The sequence below is a fragment of the Homo sapiens genome, chromosome 13, assembly GCF_000001405.40.
Source record: "Homo sapiens chromosome 13, GRCh38.p14 Primary Assembly".
Lineage (NCBI taxonomy): Eukaryota > Metazoa > Chordata > Mammalia > Primates > Hominidae > Homo > Homo sapiens.
Window position 1 is genome coordinate 51220742 of NC_000013.11, and position 12402 is coordinate 51233143.

Sequence of the window (12402 nt, forward strand, 5' to 3'; positions counted from 1 at the left end):
TCTCAAACAAACAAGCAAAAAATGAAGTGAGGCTTTTAAAACCTGGGAACTGAAGCAGAAAGCCATGCATCACTAGAATACAGTGATACCGTTCAAGCTTCTCTTCCATATAATAAATGCATCACTGAGTTGCCATTAGACTGCTATGCCAATGATGAATGATAACACTGTGTCCCCTGTGGGCGAGGGGAACCTGAATCCATGCATCATTTTGAGATGTGGCTTGAGGTTTTGGTCTGGCATGCCCTTTCTCTGGATATTTGAGAAAGGCAGAAATCATTTAAATAGCATCTCATTTTCCAAAGCCCATCTTCTAAAAGTCATGCTGATTTCACCCTTTCTTCCCTGGCCTTTTCCTTAGTACCATCTTCCTGAGGATACAACTGGCCCACTCATCAGCCTTCTAGGTAAGTGGCACAGGCTCCAGCTACCTTAAGTGGACTACCTGGCTTCCCTGCTCACTGATAGGGTGTCCTGGGACCAGGCACTCGAACTCGGTAGGGTTTAGTTTCCTTGACGGTAAAATAGAAAAGTAAGCCTGTTTCACAGCACTTCCCTGAGGATCAAATGAGGCACAGTTTGAATTGTTCCCACACAGAGTAAATAAAGGCAGGTTCCCTCCTGGCTGCAAGATAAAAAATGGGCAGGGGAATCTCCCTTGAAGAACTGGCACGCTCCTTTCTTTCAGCTAATGCCCACCAATATGTCCATTGCTGTTTGGGGTGCAAGAAATTTTAGGCTCAGTAAGGACAATTCCTCCCAATGGTTTGGATAGGGCTGTCAGAACTAAATTCAAGTTGTTCGAAGTCTCCTTCCGCCCGCCCTGCCAACTTGCCTCCCTCTTCACCCTCCTAATAGGAGGTGAGCCCCTCCAATAGCGATCATTAACTCACCCTAAGGTTATCCCCTTGCTGCAACAACCCGTGAATTGCAGGTTCATTCAATGCTCTTTAAATTATTTTTAAAGGCTTTTTTTTTTTTAAGTAGCAAAAGAATGCATGACACCTATTGTAAACTGGCAAGTTGAGGGGGTGGGATGCCGCTCAGACGTGTACTGAGAAAGGTGATAATGAATTTGGCGTCAGCAATTCTTCAGAAACTATAAGAAAACACCCAGGTGTTCGAATTGGTCCCAAAAGGGAAACAAATCCTTCCCAGCTTTCACGATGCGCTGAGGTTGGTTTTCTCAGTGCTCCTCCCAGATCAGGAGGTGGGGAACCTCGTGGCAAGCCCTGGGGCTCGGGATTCCCGGACTGTGGGCCTGGGGGAGAGAGGCGGCTCTCGTGTGCACACTTACCCCGCCCCCACAACACACACGCGGTCACGCACCACAGACGGGCACACGCGCTCAGCACAGCCACAGTCGCGTGCAACCAGGAGTGCACACCGCACCCACATCACACCGCATGCACAGACGCACGGGTGTGAGACCACACACCTCGGCCACTCACGCTCACACGCCCCCCACGCGCTCGCACACGCGCTCGCACGCGCACTCCCCGCGCACCGCCGCGCGCACACGCGGGTCCCGCCGGACGGCGAGGGGCGGGGCGGGCGCGGGCGCAGGCGCGGGTGCCCAGCCGGGCGCGGTCGGGAGAGGGCGCGGCGCGGGGTTCGCGGCTGGCGCTTGAGTTGTTTGCCGGCTCCCGGGCCGCCAGACGCTCGGAGGGAGCCCGGCCGGCTCGGACTGGGCGGCCGGGAGGGAGGGCGCCCCGGGTCACGACGGCGCCCGCAAGCCGAGCGCGGCCGGGACGTGCACCATGGACCCAAAGGCGGGCGGCGGCGGCGAGGAGGACGACTGCGTGGACTCGGGCGCCGAGACCGGAGGGTGAGCCGCGCCGGGCCGGGCCGCGGGCGGGGGGCGCTCTCCGAGTTGCGCGGCGGCTCCTCCCCGGACGGGGACCCTCCTGATCCGTGCGACGGGACCGGGGCGCGGGGCTTCTCCTCCTGCCGGATCCCCCGCTCTCTCCTGGGCGGGCCGCGCTGCCCTGGGCAGGGCGGGCACCACCCGGGGGGAGGAAAGTGGAAGGACTCAAGGTTCAGTGCAAGCCCACCCATCCTGTGAGGCGATGCAGAGCGCCAGGCGGATGCAAAGACCCCTTGTCTGCATCGCTAGAGACAGGAGATGCTCTTGCACTTGTTTCCTCCTTCCTCGGGGACTTTCCTCCTGTAGCTCCGGAGCCCCCTGGAGTCCGGCCCTGGAGATCGGGAGAGGAAGAAAAGCAGGGTGGGACACCCGCACCTAAAAGTCTTTCCGAAGTCGGCTAGGAGGATGGCATTTCTCGTTATATGGCTTCATCGTGGGACTTTAATCTGTGCTGCCGAGTCCCCCTCCCCGACTCCTCCAGTCCCGCCGAACTTCCTCACCTCTAAGTGCACCTGTCCCAGCTGGACCCTTTGGCCTGTTGTACCGGCGGGATGGAGATGGTGTTGGGATTAGGATCTAGCCCTGCCTTTTTTTTTTTTTAATATTCTCTTCGCTTCAGCGGACTCAAACAATGGGCTCAAACCTTTGGAGACTAATTAGTTAGTCTCCAAACACTGTTTTCCTGAGCGGAAGAAAAGACAAAATGCCTTTTAGGAGATGAATGTCGTTATAAAGGCTTCCAGGCAGCCTCTGTCTCTAAAGGACTTTCCTGTGCAGAGTCAGCACCACATCCAGGCCGCGGGTACTGACCCAGGAGGAAAGGGTGTTTTTTCCTATCTGGAGTAATCCTGGGGGAGGGCGGGAGCTGCCTAGACTACAGAAAGCCTCATTCCTGGAAGGTCGGAGAGGTTTTAGACTAATCTCAGGATTTGGCAACCCTGTGAGGGCAGGTAGAGAATCCAGGCCCACGATCGACCCAGAGTTCTAACCCAACCCCGGCAAAGCTCCCCACAGGGCCCCTCCTGCCCCACCACTCCTAGCCCAAATGCGGGACTTTACTCCCTAGGGCATTCACCCAGCAATGGGCTTTCTCTGTTATCCAAACTTATTCATAGCTCTCTACAGCACCCAATTATAATCTGGTGGAGTAACCTGATGCTAAATGCCAAACTTCCTTTCTTCTTCCCACTCTTTGTGTAAGTGGCATTTATCAACTTTAACAAGATTATTGGCTTTTTTTTTCTGCCATTAGTTAGCTGGACCATGAATAGAAGAAACAAAGCAAAATTAACCAGCTTATTTGTAACTGCGTTAAATAAAGCATTCACTAGTCTATTCATTTTCAATTTGCAGAACTCACCTAAAACTGATATTTTTTTCAAGGGCTCTGTCTTAGAGAAGGGAGAGGAAGTCCTGGACCCAGGGGGTGACATCGCCCCAGGATCTGGACATCAGCATGACAGCGGCCAGGCCTCCTGGGAGGGGCTCCCCACTCCTGCTGACACCAGAGCTTCTGTTCTCAGCCTCTGTCACTAAAATGTGTAGTTGTAACAGGACAGAATTGTTTAAAGAATTCTTGGCCAGGTGCGGTAGCTCGCGCCTATAATCCCAGCACTTTGGGTGGCCGAGGTGGGCGGATCACCTGAGGTCGGGAGTTTGAGACCAGCCTGGCCAACATGGAGAAACCTCATCCCTACTAAAAAATATACAGAATTAGCCAGGTGTGGTGGCGCATGCCTGTAATCCCAGCTACTCGGGAGGCTGAGGCAGGAGAATCGCTTGAACCCGGGAGGCGGAGGTTGCCATGAGCTGAGATCACGCCATTGCACTCCAGCATGGGCAACAAGAGCAAAACTCCATCTCCAAAAAAAAAGGAATTCTTACTGTATCACTAGTATCCTTAAGCTAAAGGTAAAATAGCATGCATTTCAATGTATGCTAATTAGTTTTGTGTTTGCCATATATTCACAGAGCCCTTGAATTTCAGTTATCAAAAAGCTGTTCATCGTTTCCCTGCTTTTCCAGAGCTTGCCCCCACCCCTTACCCTATCCAGCTTTCACAGAGATTATGTAGAAAGCACATAGAAGACAACAAGTGTTTGCTATCGTTAGTATTTTTAAAATGCAAATCTGATCATGTCTCTCCCTTTCAAACTTTTATGGCTCTGTTATCTACAAATGCAAGGAATTTAACGTGGCCTATATGCCCTGACTCCTGTTATGGAGTCCCTTCTTCCCTCCCTGGCCTTGTTTCTCAGCAGGTCCTTCTTTGCGCCTTGTATTTTTCTGTTTCCTCGCCTTTGTCAAGCTGCCCTCTTTGCCAGCTCTGCCCTTCCCACCTGACTTGCCTGTCTGCCAGGTGAAACTCTACTCTTCTTTCAGGACTCAGCTCAAGTGACACATCTGCTAAGGCAGTGATCCTTAATTTGGGGTCCATGAATTCCTTCAAGTTGTATGCAAAATGATGTGCTTTGTGAATTTGTATGAGAAGAGAACTTTTTTTTTTTATCAGATTCTCAAAGTAGCTGGTGATCTATTCCAAACCAAGTTTGGGCAAGATATGAGACATTTCATTTTCAACACACTGTGTCTGAGGTGTTGCAAGACATCCAAGTAAAGATGATGAATCAGCAGTTGGGTATATCTGTCTGGAACTCAGAAGGGAGGTCTTCATGATGACATTGCATTTGGGTACTATTTACCTAAAAATGGCAATGGAAGCTCTGGGAGAGACTAAATCAACTGAAGGTAATAGCAAGCACTTTCTTAGCATTTAGTATGTGCCACCTACTGTTCTAAGCCTTTATGTATTTCATGGACTCCTCGAATCCTTCAACAACTCTGTGCAGCAGGTGCTTTTTAAGACCAGCCTTGAGAAACTATATTTAAACGCCCAGTCAATGAGAATGAGCTGATAAAGGAGCCTGAGAAAGAGTAGACTTGGAGTCAAAGAAAGAAGAATATGAATCATTGAAGCCAAGGGAGGTTTGAGTTTTTGAGAAAGGAAGGAGAGATCAACTATGCTACTGAGAAACTAATGAAGATGAGGAACGCTAAATGTCTTTTTTAAATGGAGATGATGAAGTGAAGGAAGAGTGGTATTTCACAGCGGGGTGGTGGAGGCAGGAGCCAGATTAGAGTGGCTCTAGAAGGCAGTAGAAGGTGAAGAAAAGGAGACAGGTGGATTCCTTTGTCTGGAAAAAGGAGAGGCAAAAAGAGGCAGTAGCTAAAGGGGAGAGTGGAGTGAAGAAAGATTTCTTAAATATAGGTGCTAATTGAGCAATCAGTGTGATAGAAAGGATTCTATAGAAGGGGGAAGGAGAAGGAGGAGAAAAGATGATAATCTGTAATGTTGCTTGCTTGCTTTCTTTTTTTTTTTTTTTTTTTTTTTTTTTTTTTTTTTAACAGACAGGTCTCTCTGTCACCCAGGCTGGAGTGCATTGGTGGAATCATGGCTCACTGCAACCTCAAATTCCAAGGCTCAAGTAATCCTCCCACCTCAGCCTCCTAAGTAGCTGGGATTACAGGCCCGCACCACCGACACCATGCCCAGCTAATTTTTTTATTTTTATAAACACAAGGTCCTGCTATGTTGCTCAGAAACTGTCTTAAACTCCTGGCCTCAAGCAGTCCTTCCACCTTGGCCTCCCAAAGCACTAGGATTATAGTTGTGAGCCACTGCTTCTGGCCCTATAGTGTCAGCATTCTGAAAAAGTGGAGGCAGATGGACTTCATACCACAGGGGGATGGATGGCTTTAGGTAGGAGGCAGGACATCCCCTCCTGCAATTAGAAGGGCAGGCAAGATGGGGTTTCTCTTTGGTGTAAATACAGCCCTCCATCATCTGAGGAGAATGGAGATTTGAATAGTTGTTTGGGGCAATGTTGAGTGGGTGCCCAGTTGAAATTTGCAATTACGTATTTAAATAAATAACAAGGGGTACGAGTTCCCGTTGTTATTTATTTTCTCGCAGCAATGCTCAACTACCTAGGGTCAGGCAGAGAGAGAGAGTGGGTAGTTAGGATCATCAGAATTTGGGGTAAGGGGGTGTGAACAAAACACAGAAACAAGGGCTGTCAGGGTATTGCTTAAGCTGATTATCCTTTCAGTGGCATGATGGAAGAAACAGTTCCGAGAAACTTTGTGGGTCCCACTGCCAGTGGCCATGTTGGCCACTTTGAAAGTTACAGTCACAAGAGCCAGCCTGCTTGCATTCATATTCTGGCTCCTCCACTTAGGGACTGTGAAACCTTGATCCAGTGACTTAACCTCTCTCTGCTCTCAGTTTCCTCCTCTGTACAAGAGGGATGACGATAGTAGTACCTACCTTCTAGGGTTGGTGTGAGGATTAAATGAGCATATATATTTAAAGCCCCTAGAACAGTGGCTGTTCAGTGTCTAGAACCCTTAGTACATGATTATTTCTCACCATACTATATTATTATTGTTATGAGGAACACTCCAAATTATAAACTTAGAGTTTTATTTAATAAAAATGGTGAACTCAAGACCATATGTTTTTCAAACTCATCACAATAGATCCTCTGTTGCTTTTAAATACCTTAAGTAATTTGATCATTCAGAGCATCTGAGAGACTACAGGGCATGCCTCACTATTCTAATAATTATATTTTACAGATGAGGAAATGGAGACTCAGAGGGCACATGGCTCGTTAGAGGCATGAATTGAAGCCTGGATCTCCAGTATGCTTCCCACCTAGTGAAGTTGCCTCTCCAGGAGCTGTCTGATCTGTAATTAATTCTTGTTTTCTGCTCAGACATTTTCTTTTGCTTGAAATGCTGCTGCTGCTGTCTCACCCACCTAATACAGGCCAAGACTAAAAGCAAACTAGTATTCTTCTGTAGCAATTGATATCATTTTGAAACTCCCATTTTCCAAATCCACTTGAAAGATGCCTTGTGCTTTTATGTACTTTCTGTTAGCAAAAACTGGCAAGTCGGCTGCTGATGGTGGTAAACTATCTTAAGAAACAGAATCCCTTAAATAGAAGGACAGCCAGTTCCTTGTAAACCCAAATAAAAGCCAGTGCTTTATAATGACTGTTTCATTAGTGATGTCTTCAAGATTTGGCATGTAAGCCACTCTTTTGTATGTGATGGGTTATTTTCATTCAATAGTTTGGTCTGGCATTAATGAACTTCCACTTCCATCTCAGCTGTCACTGAGCTTCTGAACCTGTAGGGCCATACCATGCCCTGTTTCTTTGGAGGACCTCCAATTGATACTTCGCTGTGACTTAAGACATAACAAAAAATCAGGGGTCTAGACTTTAAATAGGTGGGTGGAAAAGAATAGGTGGGATGAATTTTTAAATGGGATAGGTCTTTTAAAAAGATGAAAGGGGAAATGCTGTATAGAAGACCAGATCGTTTGTTAGTACTTTGTTATCTTTGTATTCAAGGTGGAGCTAGTTAACACTAAATTTAATTCAGTGCAATGAGGGTTAACAGAAGAAGTTCATGATGCTCAATAGCTGATGTTTTACAGAAACATCAAGATCAATTTTACAGGAATGCCAAGATCAATTCTTATGCCATGATTTTCCTGGAAAATAATTTATTCTGTATATATGTAGTATATATATATATGTAGTATTCTGTATATATGTAGTATATCATTTGGTAGCTAGGCTGCTGTCTGATAGGGTAAACTGTCTTAAGTACAGAACCTCTATGTAATCCCTATATGTAATATTGTAATTAATATAGACAAGGGACTGCATCTAACTTTCTGTTCATTATTGGCACAAATAGTAAATAATATTTGGAAATGTGTCTATATTTGTCAGGTGTGTGAATGTACATAATTTTTGTATTATTCTGCTCTATATCGTGTATAAATTTTTCATTCTAAATTCACCTTTCATGCTTCATTCTGGCAGGGCTGAATGTCTTATGCATAGCCAGCTAACTAAATTCTTAAAAGGTGAGACCAATAAACAGAAATCTCAAGGCAGCTACCCTACTGCTGTTCCTCTTGCCTAAAAAAAACTTGTCCAGAGTACAGACTTGTCCAGAGAACCCTAATGAAATACCTGGTTATTCTCTGAAATGGTTTGAACCTATTTATTATGTGCAGAATTGTTTCAAGCTTTGTAGTTTGTCTTTCCTAACCGTATTTCTAGTAAATAAGCTTTTGAGGTTATTTGGAATATATTTTAAGAGCTATAAAAGTATTTATACCTCAAATCAGTCTATATTTCCACCCATGATAATTTTTCTAAGGAAAAGAAAATAAATATAAAGCCATATTCATAAATACCTCATTGCCGTGTGTTTTGTAAAGGTGAACAACCAGGAGCGATCATTTAGCCAACAAAAGGGTTGAATAAATTATAGTGTATTAATTTAAAATGATAATTACAGGAAATGTGTAGCAGCATGTTATGATGGTATCAAGTGAAAAGAGCAATTCAAAATTGTGTCTCCATCATTATGGCAACTGTGTACAAATTGCATATACTGAGGATCAGAGGCTGGAGAGCAGTGGGAGGCTGTAGGTGACTTTCTGTGTGTTTCCGTTGTGACGGTGGACCCGGGTGAAAGTTGGACAGCAGAGCTGGGCCATCCGTCACGGAGAGAGGGGTTTGTGTTTTACACTAGCGAGCTTGAATTTCATCCAGAGAGAGACATGATCAGATTTATCCTTTGCAAAGATTGGCTGCTGTATGTGGAGGGAACTGCAGCAGGATCAGCGTGATTGTCAGAAGGCTGACCATTCGGCGGGCCCAACCCGGTGGTGCCCTTAGTCTCTAGAAACGTGGAGGGACTCATAGAGGGGCATCAGTTATGCCAGCACCTGTCCCAAGACACTAAAATACTGTTGCACTTTAAGATTCTTGAACTATGTTTCAAGTGTAAATTTCATTCTACATACATATCCATCTGTATGCAGATCTTTAAAATGTATGCATATGTGAATCCCATCTGCTTCAAGAGAATTTGGAAAATCCTAGCTGAAAATACACATTTTAAAGAATAAAAGAAATAGAAATATCGCCATTCTTATTGTGTGTTGTATTTGAATAGTCATGACATTTCTTTAAAGTCTGTCCATCTTAAGATGATTTTATTGTAATCAAGTTGTTTTCCTGTTGCATCTACCACAGTGGATATTTGCTGAGCAGTCACTAAGTTTATATATAATTACATTTCCAAGTATTGTTCTAAAGTTTATGTCCTGAATGGTTCCAGAAAGAATTTAATGCACCAGTACTGGGTTACAAATCCTGGGCTTCAGAATGTTGCTAATCCTTGACCCTCCCCTCTCTGTTGTCTCCCTTAGCTAGTATGTCACCATGTGCTAGCCAGTCAATCCCTTCTGCCTTCGGAGTCCTTCCTCTCCACCCACCGTGCACACTCAACTTCAGTCACTAATCATTGCTCACCTCCTGGCCTCTGTACAGATAGTATCACTTTAATTTCCTAGTCAATAAAATATTGAATTATATATATATATATGAATGCAGTTTGTAATATATAAAGGGATATGCAAATGTTGGTAGTTGTTATTCTTTCCAGTTTTAAAATTCATTGATTCCATGACTACTAAAGTATTTCATTTGTGAAAGTGAAAACCACATGTTGTTTTCTTCCATTTTGTTCCTCGACCAATAAATCAATGCAGCATTTTGAGTGATGTAGGTTATTTTAATCAGTAAGAGGCATGCTGCTTATGATTTTTTTAAAAAGTTTTGCATGTACTTTTTTAAATGTGGCAAGAAGTTCAATGGAGTGAAAATTGGATGATTCAGGAAAGGCAGCAGGAGACTAAGGAGATAAAAGGAATGTATATCTATAAAATTAAACATAATTAAGCAGTTTATTTGCATAACTTCGTCCCCTAACTTCCATGGCAGAATAAATCCCTACGTGCTAAAGTGATTAATTTCCTACTGAGAATGACTTTGGGACACTAGGGGAAGAAAATAAGTAGCTTCCATATCAAATTTGTTGCCAGAGAGGAAAGTCTTAACAGCTACAGAAGTAGGGCAGAAACTTACTAGAGATTAAGCAGATCCTTGGCCAGAGCCCCACTCTTACGGAGGCTGAATGCCAGCAGCTGATTTCTCAGCATAGAAACTGAAAGGGCGATTTCACCCCAGCCTTAGCCTGCCTTTTCCCTTTCCCGATCACAGCTCACATCCTGTTACTCTAATATCCAGCAGGCTTTCTTCTCAGATGGAACTGAAATCAGTGGAAATATCATTGTGCCTTTGTTTCCTGGTGGTCAGCCCCACCTTGAATGTGGAAACCTTCGCAGCTGAGGTTCCCTCTCTCCTCGCGCTGGGATCCTCTGCTTATGTTAGCAAAGAACATTTCCCCATGGTGTTGTGCGAATATTTGAAGGGTGCTCATTTGCAGTAACCTTTGGAGTGAATCTGTGAGTGGTGAATCTGTTGAAAACTTTGGGGCTTCTCCCCAGAGAAATAACCATTCAATATTTTTGCTAAACCTTTAGATGGCTTCTTCCAAACCTCATCAGAGGAATTTGCAGAACTCACATGAGAGCCCCCAGAATTCTAAAGTTCCTTTAAAGTTTTCTTTCAAATTCAGACATAACTTTATTTTGCATAAAATGAGCCTTAGCACTGCAGTTTTTAATTGGTGACATTTCTTTACCAGCTAAATGCTACTTACCACTGACTGTTTAAAATTCTGGCTTGAATAAATCATTTGGATAAAGAATTCTACTAACGCTGAGGTCTTGTGTTTCAGGTCCGACTACAGCCACCTGTCCTCCACGAGCAGTAAGTATCTTTTAAACATCCTTCAGCATTGTCTAACGGTCCCCGGAGAGGTCAGTACCCTAGAGGCCATGTGTGTACATGGTTTTATAGTAGGTAAGAATCACCAAAGCATCTTTGCCAAAGAATGTGGTACAGGATGCTGTAACTCTGGAAGTGGAGGCTTTTCCTGGAGAATCTGATCATACAGAAATTCAGCCTGAAGGATGTAACCCAGGCTTTATCAGCTGCTTGTGGATGCTTCTAGGAGCATCATCTCTGAAGAATCTGAGGTAGCGCTTTCATTGAACAAACATCTATCAGATACCTGCTACCCTCAGGCAAACAGAAAGCTCAGAGCACAATTCCTGGATCCCTGCAGTTGCTCCAGCTCATCTCTTGCAAAATCTCTTCCCTTGCATGTCTGCATCTGCAGGCAAATATCCTTCCCTCTCCAATGGAGGGAACATCTATCTCTGGCAAAATCCTGCGAAGTGTGTTAACAGTTGGAACAGTTATAGCTAAAGTGGAAAAGTGATAGCTAAATTCCCTAATTATAACCTACATTGGTTATACATGCCAATACATATGTACCAATACGTATGCACATTGATATACATATATATCAGTATGTATAACCGATGTAGGTTGTAATTAGGGAATTTAGCTATTACTTTTCCACTTAAATGTGGCTAAAAGAATACAGACATTTTTATCAATCCATCATCCTGTATTTGTAATTCCTGGCTTATAAGTGGTTATTATATGCAGCAGAAAATGATCAGGAATATGTTTACAAAGACACTCTGGTTATTAAAAAGGTGCTTATATTTAATATTAAAGTACAGGTAAATTTACTCATGAGAAATTATGCCTCATAACTAGAAAGAATTGAGAGTGATTAAGATTACTACATAAATGACCAAAGCCATTCAGATTGATTGAATACTTATTTTAAATTAACAAAAGTAATTGTCTTAATATAAAGGCCCTGATTGTTTAAATCAGTAAATATTAAATTGTTTTGCCCTATCTCACTAGCCTGTTAAACTCTGAATTCTAAATAGTTCCCAAATGGAGAGACACTTAATTGGATTATTCTATTTATTGATGTTCTGGCTTAGTTTTCCTTTGCAATAACAGACTGAGCAGATAGTTTTATATCTGGATTTGTAATTTAGTGTCAAATTATATTTCATTATTAGTATAACTGCAATGAGCAATTTCTGGTCAGTTCAGCCAACTGGAGACCAAATGTTGCCCCTTAGTTATTAAGAACCTTAGTAATAATGAGAATAATGCTTCAGAGATTTGCACTCATTCCCCAAAGCTCCTGCATTCCTAAAACCAGAGAAAGCTCAGTTGAACTCTCTCTCTCTCTGTGCCACCATTTCCATTCCACTCAGTTTTGCCCAGAGGCTACATTTCTTTTCAGAATGATTTTTCTAAAATACTTGTGTGAAGCCTTAGTTCAATTTGTAGCTCACAAATCAGTCCTCTGGTCACGACACAACACCTCTATAGTTATCAAAACTGGTAATTTGGTTTGGGATGTTTTCCTCTCCATTATTTTAATTGCAGCCTCTGAGTTGGAATTTCTATTAGTGCAGCTGGGATCAATACCCTGCTATTGCTCTTCCTTTCTACTTTAAATGTTTGGTGGTTCCTGCCTCACTCTTCAGTGTTGGGGCCTCTTGGTGAGTGAGTGTGTATATGTGTTTCAGTTAGGAAATGTATTTGACTACAAATAATGGTGGAAAATGATGGCTAAACAAGTAGGGATTCGTT

General features: G+C 43.8%; 1 protein-coding gene across 6 annotated transcripts in view, besides 4 other annotated features; it reads left to right on the top strand.

The window, feature by feature from the left end:
• Positions 805–1595: an enhancer, noted in NCBI's record as "H3K27ac-H3K4me1 hESC enhancer chr13:51795682-51796472 (GRCh37/hg19 assembly coordinates)". NCBI's record gives its function as "activates a minimal SCP1, AML or CMV promoter by ChIP-STARR-seq in naive H9 embryonic stem cells {active_cell/tissue: H9 hESC(naive)}" and the evidence as "EXISTENCE:reporter gene assay evidence [ECO:0000049][PMID:30033119]".
• Positions 805–1605: a biological region, named in NCBI's record as "H3K27ac-H3K4me1 hESC enhancer GRCh37_chr13:51795682-51796472".
• Positions 1376–1425: a silencer, noted in NCBI's record as "silent region_5365". NCBI's record gives its function as "represses an Ori minimal core promoter by ATAC-STARR-seq in GM12878 lymphoblastoid cells {active_cell/tissue: GM12878}" and the evidence as "EXISTENCE:reporter gene assay evidence [ECO:0000049][PMID:35858748]".
• Positions 1546–1605: a silencer, noted in NCBI's record as "silent region_5366". NCBI's record gives its function as "represses an Ori minimal core promoter by ATAC-STARR-seq in GM12878 lymphoblastoid cells {active_cell/tissue: GM12878}" and the evidence as "EXISTENCE:reporter gene assay evidence [ECO:0000049][PMID:35858748]".
• Positions 1657–12402, top strand: part of FAM124A (family with sequence similarity 124 member A) — a 61842-nt gene continuing 51096 nt past the window's right edge. For all 6 annotated transcript variants that reach the window (XM_011534978.3, NM_145019.4, XM_017020419.3 and 3 more), the window contains exons 1-2: positions 1657–1828; positions 10607–10638. In XM_011534978.3, coding sequence (XP_011533280.1) covers positions 1761–1828; positions 10607–10638 — 100 coding nt within the window. In that variant the 5' untranslated portion in view covers positions 1657–1760. The remainder of the gene's footprint in view (positions 1829–10606; positions 10639–12402) is intronic.